Here is a 16,948-nt window from a genome sequence, read left to right on the forward strand (position 1 = left end):
TTTCCAGGAAAGGGGAGGGGATTTCCCTGGAACTGAGAGTCCCTCCCTCGTTTAGCTTCTGGAAGTTGCCATGGCATCTGTAAGCTGTCTTGGTGGCGGTGGGAGTGTCTTTTAGCATGCAAATGCATTATAATTAGCAAATAATGTGCAGTGAGGACGACCAGAAGTCACTTTTGTTGCCATCTTGGATTTGGCAGGTTTTGGCTGGCTTCTTTGTTGCATCTTTGTGTCTTTGGGTCTTTGTGACCTGTATGTTGTGACCTGTCTCATCCTGTGACTTAGAAAGCCTCAACCCCCTGGGAATGCAGTCCAGCAGGTTGCAGCCTCAGTTTACCCAGCCCCGGTTCAAGATGGAGTCACTCTGGTTTGAAGGCCTCTGATTCACCTGGAGACACATTCCGGCTGTACCAGGCCTCCACCAGGAAAGCTCCCATGATAACCACAATTACGGCAGCCAGACCCAGTCGTACGAAGTTACCCAGGGAGTAGTTGCTCGATGTGGTACCTGGGGGAACTGAAAGAGAGAAGGGGCTCAGCACTGACCCTCAGAGGGTATCCCTCCTTCTCAAATGGCCCCACCAAATCTGACTATCATCACCCACTTAATGTTTTCGGTTTTTTGGTTTTTTTTTTTGAGACGGAGTTTTACTCTTGTTGACCAGGCTGGAGTGCAGTGGTGTAATCTCAGCTCACCACAACCTCTGCCTCCCAGGTTCAAGCCTCCCTGCCTCAGCCTCCCAAGTAGCTGGGATTACAGGCATGTGCCACCATGCCCGGCTAATTTTATATTTTTAGTAGAGACGGGGTTTCGCCATGTTGGCCAGGCTGGTCTTGAACTCCCGACCTCAGGTGACCCGCCCACCTCAGCCTCCCAAAGTGCTGGGATTACAGGTGTGAGCCACCGCGCCCGGCCACCCACTTAATGTTTTCTAGCCAGTAGTCCACTGTACTTTAAAGTTTTAATTGAACTTTTTTTTTTTCTTGAGATCAAGTTTTGCTCTTGTTGCCCAGACTGGAGTGTAATGGCACAATCTCAGCTCACTACAACCTCTGCCTCCCGGGTTCAAGTGATTCTCCTGTCTCAGCCTCCCAAGCAGCTGAGATTATGAGCATGTGCCACCACACCCGGCTAATTTTGTATTTTTAGTAGAGACGGGGTTTCTCCATGTTGGTCAGGCTGGTCTCGAACTCCTGACCTCAGGTGATCCACCCGCCTTGGCCTCCCAAAGTGTTGGGATTATAGGCATAAACCACCATGCCTGGCCATAATTGAGCTCTTTAAAGTTTTAATCCCTGAAAACAAAAGATGGAATCTTTGTTGTTGTTTTTGAGACGACGTCTCACTCTGTTGCTCAGGCTGGAGTGCAGCGACGCAGTCTCGGTTCACTGCAACCTCCACCTCCTGGGTTCAAGCGATTCTCCTGCCTCAGCCTCCCGAATAGCTAGGATTACAGGCACCTACCACCACACCCGGCTAATTTTTGTATTTTTAATAGAGATGGGTTTTCGCCATGTTGGCCAAACTGGTTTCGAACTCCTGGCCTCAAGTGATTCGCCTGCCTCGGCCTCCCAAGGTGCTGGGATTACAGGCCTGAGCCACCGCGCCCGGCCAAGATATGCAATCCTAATGAGTTGTAATGGGAGTTCCTTTATCTTCCTTCCTTGATATTCACTCCACCTTAGCTCTCTTCCTTCGTTTATTTGCTCTTTATCCCATTTCCACCTTCCCACATTGCCTTTTCTCCTCCCGCATCCTTATGTTAAGGAATAGTCTTGGGGCAGCACATGAGACGGAAGGAGCTCTACAGAGCCCCGAATTCCGTGGCTGGATCAGCATCCTCGCAGCACACACTGCTGTGCAGCAGTGCACCTGAGAAAGTTTGAGTTGAGGCCGGGCACAGTAGCTCACGCCTGTAATCCCAGCACTGTGGGAGGCTAAAGTGGGAGGATTGCTTGAGGCCAGGAGTTCGAGAGCAGCCTGGGCAACATGGCGAAACCCCATGTCTACTAAAAATACAAAAAAATTAGCCGGGTGTGGTGGCGGGTGCCTGTAATCCCAGCTACTCAGGAGGCTGAGGCAGGAGAATTACTTGACCTGGGCCTGGGGTTGGGGGGTGGAGGCTGCAGTGAGCTCAGATTGTGCCACTACACTCCAGCTTGGGCGACAGAGTGAGACTCCATCTCAAAGAAAACAAACAAACAAACAAAACCCTAGCCTCCAGATTTTCAGGGAGGCTGATTTGAGTAATAATAAAACTCTGATTGGCCAGGTGCAGTGGCTCATGCCTGTAATCCCAGCACTTTGGGAGGCCCAAGCGGGCAGATCACGAGGTCAGGAGTTCGAGACCAGCCTGGCCAATATGGTAAAACCCCATCTCTACTAAAAATACAAAAATTAGCCAGGCAGGGTGGCACACATATAGTCCCAGCTACTCGGGAGGCTGAGGCAGAAGAATCGTTTGAACCTGGGAGGCAGAGGTTTCATTGAGCCGAGATCGCGCCACTGCACTCCAGCCTGGGCAACAGAGCAAGACTCCGTCTCAAACAAACAAACAAACAAAAAAACTCTGGTCTCCCACTTACCTGGCTCAATGTGTATTAAACTCTTTTTTGCAATTCCTCTGTCTTGATGAATGGGCTTCATCCAGGCACCCGGCAAGAGCTGTAATGTAACTCATTACAGCAGTTACAACAGATGAAAAATAATTTACAGAGCTGAGGAAGCAGAGTGCTAGCACCCAGTAAGGCAGGAAACAAGATACTTTCAGAAGAATTCTAGCAGTCAATAAAAGACATGGGTAGACTTCGCATCCACGGCATAGAAGCAGGAGGCTGTGCAAACACCATGTTCTGAGGATGAGATAATTTTTTTTTTAAATTTGAAACTGGGTCTCACTATGTTGCCCAGGCTGGTCTCAAACTCCTGGGCTCAAGCAATTCTCCAGCCTCAGCCTCCCAAAGTGCTGGGATTACAGGCCTGAGCCACCACACATGACTGAGAAAGAATTATTGAGAGTGAAATCACTAACACCAAGAAAAAACAAAACACGCCATGCACAGTGGTTCACACCTGCAATCCCAGCCCTTTGGGAGGCCGAGGTGAGCGGATCACCTGAGGCCAGGGGTTCAAGACCAGCCTGGTCAACATGGTCAGAACCCCATCTCTACTAAAAATACAAAAATTAGCCAGGCGTGGTGGCGGGCACATGTAATCCCAGCTACTCAAGTGGCTGAGGCAGGAGAATTGCTTAAACTCGGGAGGCAGAGGTTGCAGTGAGCTGAGATCGCACCACTGCACTCCACCCTGGGCAACAGAGCGAGACTCTGTCTCAAAAACAAAATGAAACAAAACAAAACAAAAAACCAAAACGCTAAGAGATGCAAAGACTGGTAGAAGGAATCTGGTGCTGGTAGATTCATAATTTTCAAAAACAGCCTAGAAATTTTCCAAGGATGTAGTATAACAAAAAGGCAAAGGAGGGCCGGGCACGGTGGCTCACACCTGTAATCCCAGCACTTTGGGAGGCCGAGGCAGGCAGATCACCTGAGGTCAGGAGTTCAAGACCAGCCTGGTCAACACGGTGAAACCTTCATCGCTACTAAAAATAGAAAAATTAGCCGGATGGGTGGTGCAGGCCTGTAATCCTAGCTACCTGGGAGGCTGAGGCAGGAGAATCACTTGAACCTGGAAGGTGGAGGTTGCAGTGAGCGAAGATCGCGCCATTGCACTCCATCCTGGCAACAGAGTGAGACTCCATTTCAAAAAAAAAAAAAAAAAAAAAAAAGGCAAAGGAGTGGAAATTGTGAAAGGGAGGTTTTTTTGTTGTTTTGTTGTTTTTGTTTTTGTTTTTTGTTTTTTGTTTTTGAGACAGAGTCTCACTCTATTGCCCAGGCTGGAGTGCAGTGGCAAGATCTTGGCTCACTGCAACCTCCGCCTCCCATGTTCAAGCAATTCTCCTGCCTCAGCCTCCCAAGTAGCTGGGTCTACAGGTGCATGCCATCATACCTGGCTAATTTTTTATTTTTAGTAGAGACGGGGTTTCACTATGTTGGCCAGGCTGGTCTCAAATCCTTGACCTCAGATGATCCATCCACCTCGGCCTCCCAAAGTGCTGGGATGACAGGCATGAGCCACCACGCCAGGCCAGAAAGGGAAGATTTTGTTAAGAGCGATGATATTGTAAGTAATGAAGAAATGAGATTCACAGAAGAACAAAACAATCTCTGATTAAAAACAACACACACAGTTCCTCAAAACCATACACGCCCTTACCTGTCACCAATATCTCAAGCTGATCACTGGGTTCTGAGGCCCAGAAGGGAGACTTTGTCTGGTAGTACATGCAGCTGTAGTTCCCAGCATCGCCGGCTGTCACGTCCACCAGAGAGAAGTCTATCTCCTTCCCCGCTGGACTCTGCAGCTGGATGGGTGATGGCGTCCCTGCCTTCAGTAGAGCGAACATGATAGGCACAAACAATTGGTCTCGCTTCTGGCACTGCAGAGTCACCCTTCCACCTGCGGTCACTGTACCCCTTTGGTAGGTTCGGAGGAAAGGTTTAGATAAATGTCCTGTAAGAGAAGTCAGGTTCTGAGGTCCTGGGGAGAAGTCTGGAATCCCCCACTCACCCCTGTTCTCCTGGCCGGAGGCTCTCGTGGAGTGTGGGAAATGAGAGATTCCTGATCTCTTCTACCTTCCTCCACTTCCTACTCCGACCCCAGGACAGAGATTCTCCCTCCTACAAGACCTGTGTAAGGCCTGGCATGGTGGCTCACACCTGTAATCCCAGCACTTTGGGAGGCCAAGGCGGGTGGATCACCTGAGGTCAGGAGTTCGAGACCAGCCTGCCCAACATGGCGAAACCCTGTCTCTACTAAAAATACAAAAATTAGCCGGGCATGGTGGCAGGCACCTGTAATCCCAGCTGCTCAGGAGGCTGGAGCAGGAGAATCACTTGAGCCCAGGAGGCGGAAGTTGCAGTGAGCCGAGATGGCACCACTGCACTCTGGCCTGGGCGACAAAGTATAAAACCAACATATGCAATTTCGTTCCTGTCTCTCTCCCTCTCCCACCACCCCCAACTACTCTGAAGGTGGGACCCCTTTTCTCCCTCTGTTCCTCCACTTCCTCCCTCATCCCCTGTCCCCCGTATGTCATTGGCAGGCACCCTGTCTGTACCTGTCACCAACAGTAGAAGGACGTCACTGTGCTGTGAAAGGATGTGGGGGGATGCTTTTCTGTAGTATTCACAGGTGTACTCTCCAGCATTTCTGACTTTTAGATTATTGAGGTGAAATTCGGCCGCGCCCTCTGTAGAATCAAGGGGCTTCGGGGACTCCAGAATAATTCCTCCCTTCCTGAGAACAAAGCTCACACCTCTGGCAGGAGTCCAACATCGCAGCGTCACATTGCTGTTGGCAGGGACCACCGAGCTGGGCCAGGCACTGAGGGACGGCTTGGGCAGTGACCCTGGAAGGAAGCAGAGCCTGATGCTGGACCCGATGCCCTCCCCTGCTCTCAGGAAGCCCTTTTTAAAATTTATTATTATTATTATTATTTTGAGATGGAGTCTCCCTCTGTTGCCCAGGCTAGAGTGCAGTGGTGCAATCTCAGTTCACTGCAACCTCCGTCTCCTGGGTTAAAGCAATTCTCCTGCCTCAGCCTCCCAAGTAGGTGGGATTACAGGCACGCACCACCACACCCAGCTAATTTTGTATTTTAGTAGAGACAAGGTTTCACCATGTTGGCCAGGCTGGTCTCGAACTCCTGACCTCAGGTGATCCACCCACCTTGGCCTCCCAAAGTGCTGGGATTACAGGCGTGAACCCCTGAGCCCAATCAGGAATCCCATTTTAAGAAGGGAAGCGGGCTGGGTGCGGTGGCTCACGCCTGTAATCCCAGCACCTTGGGAGGCCAAGGCAGGCAGATCACGAGGTCATGAGATCGAGACCATCCTGGCCAACATGGTGAAACTCCGTCTCTACTAAAAATACAAAAATTAGCTGGGCGTGGTGGCAAGCACCCGTAGTCCCAGCTACTTGGGAGGCTGAGACAGGAGAATCACTTGAGCCCAGGAGGCGGAGGTTGCTGTAAGCCGAGATTGCACCACCGCACTCCAGCCTGGCGAAAGAGTGAGACTCCGTCAAAAAAAAAAGAGAAAAAGAGGGGGAAGGGGAAGAGAACAGCAGGGGATTTGGGATGACAGGCCAAGGAGGGTGTAGTTGAAGAAACACTCACCATCTCCCCTTGTGTCTCCTTGGCCCACGCACAGTCCTGCAAGACAATCCTCCGTGAGCCAGAAGCCCCTACCTGGAGCCACGTCACCCCCTGCCCTGACCCCTGGAGATCGTCCCAGAGTCTCCTGCTGAGAACAGACCCTTAGAGGTCATACGCTCAGGAGTTCTCATTCTCCCCACACTGGACTGTGGCTTCTGCTCGACTTCCAGCTCCTCCATCCTTTCCCAGAGATTCTCCTTGACCATCCTGTGTGGCTGTCACCTCCCCCTGCTCCAGGCCTTTCCCACAAATCCTTCCATTCTCATCTTCTGTTTGAAAACAGCACTCATTCTTACCATTTCTTTCTTTCTTTCTTTTTCTTTCCTTTCTTTCTTTCTTTTTTCTTTCTTTCATTCATTCTTTCTTTCATTCATTCCAGAGACAGAGTCTCGCTCTTTCTTTCTTTTTCTTTCTTTCTTTCTTTCTTTCATTCATTCTTTCTTTCTTTCATTCATTCCAGAGACAGAGTTGCGCTCTGTCGCCCAGGCTGGAGTAGAGTGACGCAATCTCGGCTCACTGCAACCTCCGCCTCCCGGGTTCAAGTGATTCTCCTGCCTCAGCCTCCCAAATAGCTGGGATCACAGGCATGCGCCAGGACGCCCGGCTGAGTTTTGTATTATTAGTAGAGACAGGGTTTCACCATATTGGCCAGGCTGGTCTCGAACTCCTGACCTCAGGTGATCCACCCACCTCGGCCTCCCAAAGTGCCGGGATTACAGGCATGAGCTTTGTGCCCAGCTTCTTTTTATTTTTTAATTTTTCATTTTATTATTGTGTTTTGAGACAGGGTCTCTCTCTGTTGCCCAGGTTGGAGTGCAGTGGCTCCATCATGGCTCACTGTAGCCTCCCAGGCTCAAGTGATCCTCCCACCTCAGCCTCCCGAGTAGCTGGGATCACAGGTGTGCACCACCACACCCGGCTAATTTTTTAGTCTTTCCCAGAGACAGAGTCTCCCTATGTTGCCCAGGCTCATGATCTCTTTTAATCCCTTCATGACTCCAAACAGGACAAAATTTATTGTTTGGTGTCCTGTAACAAGCCTCAAAACATCCAAATGGTCATTCCAGAAAGGGGAAAGCATACGTTCCTCCCTGTTTCACACATGGCTGCATTTGCTCTTCCTCCTTTTTAATTTTTTTTGATAGAGACAGGGCTGGGCTGGTTAAGAACTCTTGACCATGCCGGGCGCGGTGGCTCCCGCCTGTAATCCCAGCACTTTGGGAGGCCGAGGCAGGTGGATCACGAGGTCAGGAGTTGAAGACCAGCCTGGCCAACATGGTGAAACCCCGTCTCTACTAAAAATACAAAAATTAGCCAGGTGTGGTGATGGGCGCCTGTGATCCCAGCTACTCAGGAGGCTGAGGCAGAGAATCGCTTGAACCCAGGAGGCAGAGTTTGCAATGAGCTGAGATCGCACCACTGCACTCCAGCCTGGCCACAGCGCGAGACTCAGTTTCAGGAAAGAAAAAAAAAAGAGAAAGAAAAGAAAAAACATAATATCAAGCCTGTTTATGAACATTATCATAATAATGAGATTGATCTAACTCAAAGAAAGTTAGTTAGGCCTGTGTCTCTGAGAGATTTCCTCTTTTTCCCCTGTGTGAACAGTTTTAGGTCTCAGCAGGAAAAAGGAGAAGTTACCAGGCGTTTGTGCTACTATTACATCCATGAGCCAATCCATAAACTGACACTTCAAGTTTTGCAAAAGGAAATTGTGAACACCCAAAATGTTCAAACAACGTAAGTGTCCATCCATGGAAGAATGGATAAACACAGTGTGCTCTATATATTCAATGGGATTTTTCTTCTTTTTCTTCGTTTTTTTTTTTTTTTTTTTTGAGACATAGTTTCATTCTTGTTGCCCAGGCTGGAGTGCAATGGCGCGATCTCGGCTCACTGCAACCTCCGCCTCGCGGGTTCAAGTGATTCTCCTGCCTCAGCCTCCCAAGTAGCTGGGATTACAGCTCACTGCAACCTCCGCCTTGCAGGTTCAAGTGATTCTCCTGCCTCAGCCTCCCAAGTAGCTGGGATTACAGCTCACTGCAACCTCCGCCTTGTGGGTTCAAGTGATTCTCCTGCCTCAGCCTCCCAAGTAGCTGGGATTACAGGCATGCACCACCATGCCCAGCTAATTTTGTATTTTTTAGTAGAGACAGGGTTTCACCATGTTGGTCAGGCTGGTCTTGAACTCCCCACCTCAGGTGATCCGCCCATCTTAGCCTCCAAAATGCTTTTTTCTTTTTCTTTTCTTTCTTTCTTTTTTTTTTTTTTTTTTTTTTTTTGAGGCAGGGTCTCGCTCTGCTGCCCAGGCTGGAGTGCAATGATGTGATCCTAGTTCATTCCAGCATCAACTCCCTGGGCTCAGGTGATCCTCCCACCTCTGCCTCCCGAGTAGCTGGGACTACAGCTGCACACCACCATGCCCAGCTCATTTTTGTTGTTGTTGTTGTTTTTAATATTTATTTATTTATTTTGAGATGGAGTTTCGCTCTTGTTGCCCAGACTGGAGTGCAATGGCATGATCTCGGCTCACTGCAACCTCTGACTCCTGGGTTCAAGCGATTCTCTTGCCTCAGCCTCCCAAGTAGCTGGGATTACAGGCGCCCGCCACCACGCATGGCTAATTTTTATATTTTTAGTAGAAATGGGGTTTCACCCTATTGGCCAGGCTGTTCTCGAACTCCTTACGTCAGGTCATTGCAAAAAAAGTGCTGGGATTACAGGCGTGAGCCACCATGCCCAGCCTCATTTTTGTATTTTTTGTAGAGACAGGGTTTCACCATGTTGCCCAGGCTAGTCTCGAACTCCTGGGCTCAAGCGATCTGCCTGCCTCAGACTCTCAAAGTGCTGGGATTACAGGTGTGAGACACTGTGCTCGGCCTACAGTGGGATTTTAGCCATAAAAAGGAAAGGAAATCTGACATATCCTACAATATAGATGTAGCTCGAGGATATTATGCTGAGTAAACTAAGTCAGGCAAAAAAGAACAAGTGTTATGATTCCACTCATACATCCTAGAATAAGCAAATTCATAGAGATAAAAATTAGAATGGGCTGGACACGGTGGCTCACGCCTGTAATCCCAGCACTTTGGGAGGCCGAGACAGGCAGATCACAAAGTCAGGAGATCGAGACCAGCCTGGTCAACATGGTGAAACCTTGTCTCTACTAAAAAAAAAAAAAAAAAAAAACTTAGCCAGGCATGGTGGTGAGCGCCAGTGATCCCAGCTACTCGGGAGGGAGAGGCAGGAGAATCGCTTGAACCCAGGAGGCGGAGGTTGCAGTGAGCTGAGATTAGGCCACTGTACTCCAGCCTGGGTGACGAAGCAAGACTCCATCTCCGAAAAAAAAAAAAAAAAAAGAAATTAGAATGGAGGTTACCAGGGGCTGGGAGGACCGCGGCAAATACAGAGTTATTGGTTAGAGGGTGTAGCGTTCATATTGGGAATTGTGATTGTTAATTTGATTTATCAGCTAGACCAGGCCACAGGATGCTGGGATATCTGGTTAAACATTATTTCTGGGCGTGTCTGTGAGGGTGTTTTTAGAAAGATCAGCATTTGAATCTAATGCTGAGTCGGGCAGGTTGGCCTTCCTAATGGAGGTGGGTATTCTGCTGAGGGCCAGGATGGGAGAAAAAGGTGGCAGAGCCACCACAGTGGCTCACGCCTGTAATCCCAGCACTTTGGGAGGCCAAGGCAGAAGGGCTGCTTGAGGCCAGGAGTTTGAGACCAGCCTGAGTAACATAGTGAGATCCCGTCTCTACAAAAAATTTAAAAATTACACGGGGCACTGTGGCTCACGCCTGTAATCCCAGCACTTTGGGAGGCTGAGGCTGAGGCGGGCAGATCACCTGAGGTGATCACCTGAGGGAGCTCAAGACCAGCCTGGCCAACATGATGAAACCCCGTCTCTACTAAAAAGTACAAAAAATCAGCCGGGTGTGTGGTGGGCACCTGTAATCTCAGCTACCCAGGAGGCTGAGGCAGGAGAATTGCTTGAGCCCAGGAGGTGGAGGCTGCAGTGAGCTGTGGTCATACCACTGCACTCCAGCCTGGGTACAGAGTGAGACTTTGTCTCAAAAAAAGGAAAAGGAGGGAAGGAAGGAAGGAAGGAAGGAAGGAAGGGAAAGAGAGAGAGGAAGGAAGGAATGAAGGAGAAAGAGAAAGAAAGGAAGGAAGGAAGGAAGGAAGGAAGGAAGGAAGGAAGGAAGGAAGAAAGCAAGCAAGCAAGCAAGCAAGCAAGCAAGCAAGCAAGCAAGCAAGCAAGCAGGCAAGCAAGCGGGGGCTCACGCCTGTAATCCCAGCACTTTGGGAGGCCGAGGCGGGCAGATCAAGAAGTCAGGAGATGGAGACCATCCTGGCTAACACAGTGAAACCTACGAAAAAAGCCGGGCATGGTGGCGGGCGCCTGTAGTCCCAGCTACTCGGGAGGCTGAGGCAGGAGAATGGCGTGAACCCGGGAGGCGGAGCTTGCAGTGAGCAGAGATCGCACCACTGCACTCCAGCCTGGGCGACAGAGCGAGACTCCATCTCAAAAAAAAAAAAAAGAAAGAGAGAGAGAGGAAGGAAGGGAGGAAGGAAGGAAGGAAGGAAGGAAGGAAGGAAGGAAGGAAGGAAGGGAAGGAGAAAAAGAAAGAAAGGAAGGAAGGAAGGAAGAAAGAAAGAGGTTTTAGTGTAGATAGTGGTGATGGTTACACAGCGGCCTCAATTTACTTTATAGTTATCTATTTGACACTAAATTTTTATTTATGGTATTAAGGTTTCTGGGCCAGGCACAGTGGCTCACATCTGTAATCCCAGCACTTTGAGAGACTGAGGTGGGCAGATCACCTGAGGTCGGGAGTTCGAGACCAGCCTGGCCAACATGGTGAAACACCGTCTCTACTAAAAATACAAAAATTAACCAGGCATGGTGGCGCACCCCTGTAATCCAGTTACTCAGGAGGCTGAAGCAGGAGAATCGCTTGAACCCGGGAGGCAGAGGTTGTGGTGAGCCGAGATCACGCCATTGCACTACAGCCTGGGCAACAAGAGCAAAACCCTGTCTCAAAAAAATAAAATAAAATAAAATAAAATAAGGTTTCTATTCTGAATACTTTTACTTACACACAAAAAGTCAGAGTTGATCCTGAGAAAAGGGGTAAGCCAATGAAGCCAGGTGGTGGAGGCATTCAGCAAAACTCACGAAGTTGAAACTACAGGAGTTGAAGTTTGCAGAGCACTCGTTTCCAGGGAATGTCTGCAGTGCACTCAGCAGGACGTCTCACTCCTCCCGTGTGCTCAGTAAGCCAAAGTTGATGTTATTATTTCCATCCCCAGCCCAACTATCCCACCAGTTCCATGATTTTCTGCAGTCCCAGTGGATAGCCCTGTGAGACTTACTGAAACAGAGGAGGGAAAGCAGCTTAGGGATCATGATGGCTCCTTAGCCCTCCCAGAGTCCGTCTTGGGTTCTGCAGTCCACAGATGGGAGAAGAGCTGGAGTCGTCGCTGCCTCTCTCCCACCCCAGAGTGTGGGCAGTAACAGCCTTTCCTAGCCTTTCAGTTTCCCCTCCCATATCCACATTCAGGAAACATGTTGATGTTGCTGATTGCAACATGCTCCTTACACACACCAGTGTTCGAGCACTTGACTCACAGGAAATGCTCCTCTGTCTCAGGCAGATTTCAGGCATCAAACAGGTAACCCCGAAAATGCTTCAGACTTGGCCCTGAAGGGTTCGTATTGAAGAGATGAAAGCACTTCACTCTTTTTTTTTTTTTTGAGATGGTGTCTGGTTCTGTTACCTGGGCTGGAGTCCAGTGGCACGATCTCAGGTCATTGCAACTTCAGCCTCCTGGGTTCAAGCAATTCTCCGGCCTCAGCCTCCCAAGTAGCTGGGATTATAGGCGCATGCCACCATGCCCGGCTAATGTTTGTATTTTTAGTTAAGATGAGGTTTCACAAGTTAGCTGGGCTAGTCTTGAACTCCTCGCCTCAAGTGATCCACCTGCCTCGGCCTCCCAAACTGCTGGGATTACAGGCATGAGCCACTGTGCCAGGCCTTCATCACCATTTTTTTTTTCTTTTGAGACAGAGTTCCACTCTTTCGCCCAGGCTGGAGTGAAGTGGCAAAATCTCATCTCATTGCAACCTCCAACCCCCAGGTTCAAGCGGTTCTCCTGCCTCAGCCTCCCAAGTAGCTGGGATTACAGGAGCCCTTCAACACGCCCAGTTAATTTTTGTATTTTTTAGTAGAGATGAGGTTTCACCATGTTGGCCAGGCTGGTCTCAAACTCCTGATCTCAAGTGATCCACCCACCTCAGCCTCCCAAAGTGCTGGGATTACAGGCATGAGCCACTGTGCCCAGCCAGTCATGAGCTCATTTTTTAAGTTCAGAATATTTCAGTACATATCTATCTTTATCAAATAAGAACCATTTTAAAAATAATATAAGCACCACAGCACTGTCACATCAAGAAAGTTAAGAGTACCTCCTTGATACCAGCTAATACCCATTCAGTACTCAAATTTCCCTGATTGTCTCAAAAATGTCATTTCTATCAGGTTTTTAAAGAATAAATCAGGATCCAATAAAAGTCTACAGATTGCATTTGATAATTATGTTAATTTAGCCTGGCGCAGTGGCTCATGCCTGTAATCCCAACACTTTGGGAGACCGGGGCAGGTAGATAACCTGAGGTCAGGAGTTCGAGACCAGCCTGGCCAACCATGGTGAAACCTCATCTCTACTAAAAATACAAAAATTAGCTGGGCGTGGTGGTGCACGCCTGTAATCCCAGCTACTCAGGAGGCTGAGGCAGGAGAACTGCTTGAACCTGGGAGGCAAAGGTTGCAGTGAGCTGAGATCGCACCATTGCACTCCAGCCTGGGCAACAGAGTGAGACTCAGTCTCAAAAAAAAAAAAAAATGTTAATTTGAATCAGACAAAATTTTTTATTTTTTTGTTAAAATAAGAAATCAAGCAAGTTAGTTTTTAACCATGTTTTTTTTCATCTTGCATTTGGAAGAAGAGCAAAATGCCCCGAAGTCTCGTTTTTGTTTTCGGATTTTTTGTCTTGATAGCACCTACTCTTCTTACTGTTTTGGAACATAGAAAAGTCAACAAGGCAACAAATTATAAGGAGTAAAACCAACTATAATTACAGGTGTTTCTTTGAAAGTTATTTTCACAAGATGTGGCAATGATTTTTAAAGGCTTGGGACTCTTACAAGACCCTTTTGTTCAAATAACAGTTTTGTGTATGAATTTATTTCAACAGAGAACAATTTAGTAATGTTTGTGAATATTCATTTAGTTCTCCATATTGTACCAGAAAACAAGACTGATATTCTTGTGAATCTTCTCAATTCAACTCTTTATCAAATCAGATTCCTTAAATTAGTGTTGTGACTCAGAAAAAATCTTTCTCCTTATGCAGTATCAGGGAAAAGAGGACATCTCCTATATTTCTTCTTAACATCTCTGTTGCTAACAAGGAATATGCATATTTTAAAACTAGGCTCTGGAATTTTATCAGTCAACAGGAAAGGCCTGGTAAAGTTCCATTCCACTTGGAAATGAAGAAAGGAGACCCTGATTCAAAAAACGAAAAAAGAAAGAATAAAGAATAGCTTAGGGCCAGGCAAGGTGGATCACACCTGTAATCCTAAGATTTTGGGAGGTGAGGTAGGTGGAAGGCTTGATCCCAGGAGTTCAACACCAGCCTGGGCAACATGGCCTAATCCCATCTCTACAAAAAATACAAAAATTAGCCAGGCTTGGTGGTATATACCTGTAATCCCAGCTTCTCAGGAGGCTGAGGTGGGAGAATCACTTGAACCTGGGAGGGGGAGGTGGCAGTGAGCTGAGATCGCACCATTGTACCCCAGCCTGGGCAACAAGAGTGAAACTCCATCTCAAAAAATAATAATAAAATAAATAAATAAATAATCATTCACTTTGTTAGGTGTTTATCACACCTAACCTTAAGAATATGTTACCAAAATAAAAAGTCTTATAGATGAAATCATATTATATCTGAGGTTTACTTTAAAATACTCCAGGAGAAAATTTAAAATAGACTTGGGGGAGGGGACTTATCTGTAGTTATCTGCACATAATCTACATGATTATCTCAAAGCCATCCTTTTGCTGTTGAGAATTCTGATTTTTAGCTGGGCCCATTGGCACCCAGGTAAAAAACTACATTCTTCAGTGTCACTTACAGGTAGATGTAGCCGTAAGTCTTCATCTAGGACAATGATAAATAAGCATAAATATTGTAGACAGCTTCCAAAAGGTTCTTTAATGAAGTACACTTTCCTTCCTTCACTTAACTGCCTAAAATGTGGATGTGATGACTGGTATTCTAGCGTCATCTTGAACCATGAAGATGAGATGAGGTTCAAGATGGTGGAGGGTGAGCCAGAAGTAACTTAGGTCCATAATGCTTTTTGGAGTCACTGTGCCAGCCTTGGACTGCTCCCTTCAGATTTATTCTACATAAGGGAGAAATCAATTGGTATTAGTTTTAAGTCATCATTATTTAGTTCTCTTTTGGGTTTAGGTTATCAATTACTGTGTTAACAAACCACCCCAAAACTGAGTAACTTAGAGTAACAATCTTGTTTTTTTTTTTTTTTAATCATTCCTGATCTGGTGAGATGACTGGGCTCAGTTGAGCGGTTCTTCGGTTCAATGTGATGTCTTCCTGGGCTTCAGTCATCAGGGTGGCTCAACTGAGCTGGAATCTCCAAGATGGCACTTGCAAATGGCTGGCTGTTGATGCTGGATGTTGGTTGAAAGCTCGGCTAGGACTGTTGAATGATGTACCTGCACATGGCCTCTCCATTTGATTCAGACTTCTTGGAGGATAGCATCTGGGTTTCAAGAGGGGATGTCACAAGAGAGCTTTCTAAAATAGAGAAGGCGGCTGGGCATGGTGGCTCACGTCTGTAATCCCAGCACTTTGGGAGGCCGAGGTGGGTGGATCACCTGAGGTCAGGAGTTCAACATCAGCCTGGCCAACATGGTAAAACCCCGTCTCTACTAAAAACAAAATTAAAAAAAATTAGCCGGGTGTGTTTGTGCACACCTGTAATCCCAGCTACTCAGGAGGCCGAGGCAGGAGAATTGCTTGAACCTGGGAGGCGGAAGTTGCAGTGAGCCGAGATCACACCACTGCACTCCAGCCTGGGCAACAGAATGAGACTCTGTCTCAAATAAATAAATAAATAAATAAAATAAAGAAGGCAAAAGTTGTTTGTCCCTTTAAAGACTAAGCCTGGAACTGACACAGTTTCTCTTCTTCTACAGTCTTAAGGAAAGGCCAGATTCAAGGGGAGGGAAAATAAACTCTACCTCTCTATAGGGACAGTGACAAAGAATTGGAGGCCATCTTTAGTCTGTCATGTGTTATGGTCAATGGAAATAGATATATATATATTTACTGAGTGCCTGAGTCCCACCGAGAGATTTTAATTATTTTTTTATTTTTGTTTTTTTAAGATGGAATTTTGCTCTTGTTGCCCAGGCTGAAGTGCAATGGCATGATCTCAGCTCACTGCAACCTCTGCCTCCCGGGTTCAAGCGATTCTCCTGCCTCAGCCTCCCAAGTAGCTCGGATTACAGGCAAGTGCCACCACACCCAGTTAATTTTGTATTTTTTAGTAGAGATGGGATTTCTCCATGTTGGTCAGGCTGGTCTTGAACTCTTGACCTCAGGTGATCTGCCCACCTTGGCCTCCCAAAGTGCTGGGATTACAGGTGTGAGCCACCGTGCCCAGTCGAGATTTTAATTTTTATAATGGGTATAGGATGAGGCCTGGGTGTCTCATTCTGTGTTTTAAATGTTCCTGGGAAATTCTAATGTGCAGTCAAGTTTGAGAACCACTGGGTTGGAACACATAACCTCCTTCCCATCTCAGACCCTGAAACATCCTGAAAACTCCTGTATCTGGAGTTTTTCCCCCATTTTTGCTTGGCTAACTTTGACTCTTCCCTCAGAAACCAGCTTCAGAATCTTTTCTTTAGCAAAGACTTCCCTGCAAGTTCTTTAACAGCACTTATCTCAGCTGTGACAAAATCATCAATGGTGTAATTGTGTCTTTTTAATGTCTTTTCCCCTATTCTTCATAATCGTCAAAGTAAAGGATAGCTCTTCTCTCAGTCAGAACTATTAATAGATGCTGTAATGGAAATGAAACAAGACTCTCAGACTCTTGTTAAAGTAAGAAGTCTAGCAGAGTCTCAGGCTTTAATTTTTTTTTTCCGATCATAAATGTGGGAGAAAGATCATTTAACCTGCTGCTAAGGTTTGAATATTTGTTCCCTTGAAAACTCATGTTGAACCAGCCTGGGCAACATAGGGAGACCCTGTCTCTACAAATAATTTAAAAATTAGCCAGGTGAGGTGGCACATGCCTGTGATCCCAGCTACTCAGGAGGCTGAAGTGGGAGGATCACCTGAGCCCAGAAAGCTGAGGATGCAGTGAACCGTGATTGCACCACTGCACTCCAGCCTGTGCAACACAGTGAGACCCTGTCTCAAAAAATAAATAGGTAAATAAGCTGAGTGTGGTGGCTCACACCTGTAATCTCAGCACTTTAGGAAGCCAAGGTGGGCAGATCACATGAGGTCAGGAGTTTGAGACTAGCTGGCCAACATGATGAAACCCTGTCTCTAC

General features: G+C 47.3%; 1 protein-coding gene across 2 annotated transcripts; it reads right to left on the reverse strand.

Moving 5' to 3' along the window:
• Positions 1-248: 248 nt before the first annotated feature.
• On the reverse strand, positions 249-11,719 carry TARM1 (T cell-interacting, activating receptor on myeloid cells 1). 2 transcript variants are annotated; one of them, NM_001135686.3, is made up of 5 exons: positions 11,661-11,719; positions 6,237-6,272; positions 5,178-5,468; positions 4,274-4,570; positions 249-514 (listed from the first exon to the last, which is right to left on the reverse strand). In NM_001135686.3, the coding sequence occupies exons 1-5, from the start codon at positions 11,692-11,694 to the stop codon at positions 357-359; spliced, it is 816 nt and encodes a 271-aa protein (NP_001129158.2). In that variant the 5' UTR covers positions 11,695-11,719; the 3' UTR covers positions 249-356. The 2 variants fall into 2 exon arrangements, with proteins under 2 accessions (NP_001129158.2, NP_001317579.1); NM_001330650.1 differs by lacking the exon at positions 11,661-11,719 and adding an exon at positions 6,572-6,899.
• Between the last annotated feature and the right edge of the window lie 5,229 nt (positions 11,720-16,948).

The sequence above is a fragment of the Homo sapiens genome, chromosome 19 (assembly GCF_000001405.40).
Source record: "Homo sapiens chromosome 19, GRCh38.p14 Primary Assembly".
Taxonomy (NCBI): Eukaryota; Metazoa; Chordata; class Mammalia; order Primates; family Hominidae; genus Homo; species Homo sapiens.

What these genes read in the sequence shown, in the direction of transcription:
- TARM1 (NM_001330650.1), bottom strand. Translation starts at nt 6,629, where the DNA reads ATGAAAGAAAGAAAAAAGAAAGAAAGAAAGGAAAGAAAAAGAAAGAAA. An exon ending in AAGAAAGAAAGAAAGAAATG is followed by an intron (nt 6,273 to 6,571) that starts GTAAGAATGAGT and finishes ATTGTCTTGCAG; the next exon opens with GACTGTGCGTGGGCCAAGGA. An exon ending in AGGAGACACAAGGGGAGATG is followed by an intron (nt 5,469 to 6,236) that starts GTGAGTGTTTCT and finishes GCTTCCTTCCAG; the next exon opens with GGTCACTGCCCAAGCCGTCC.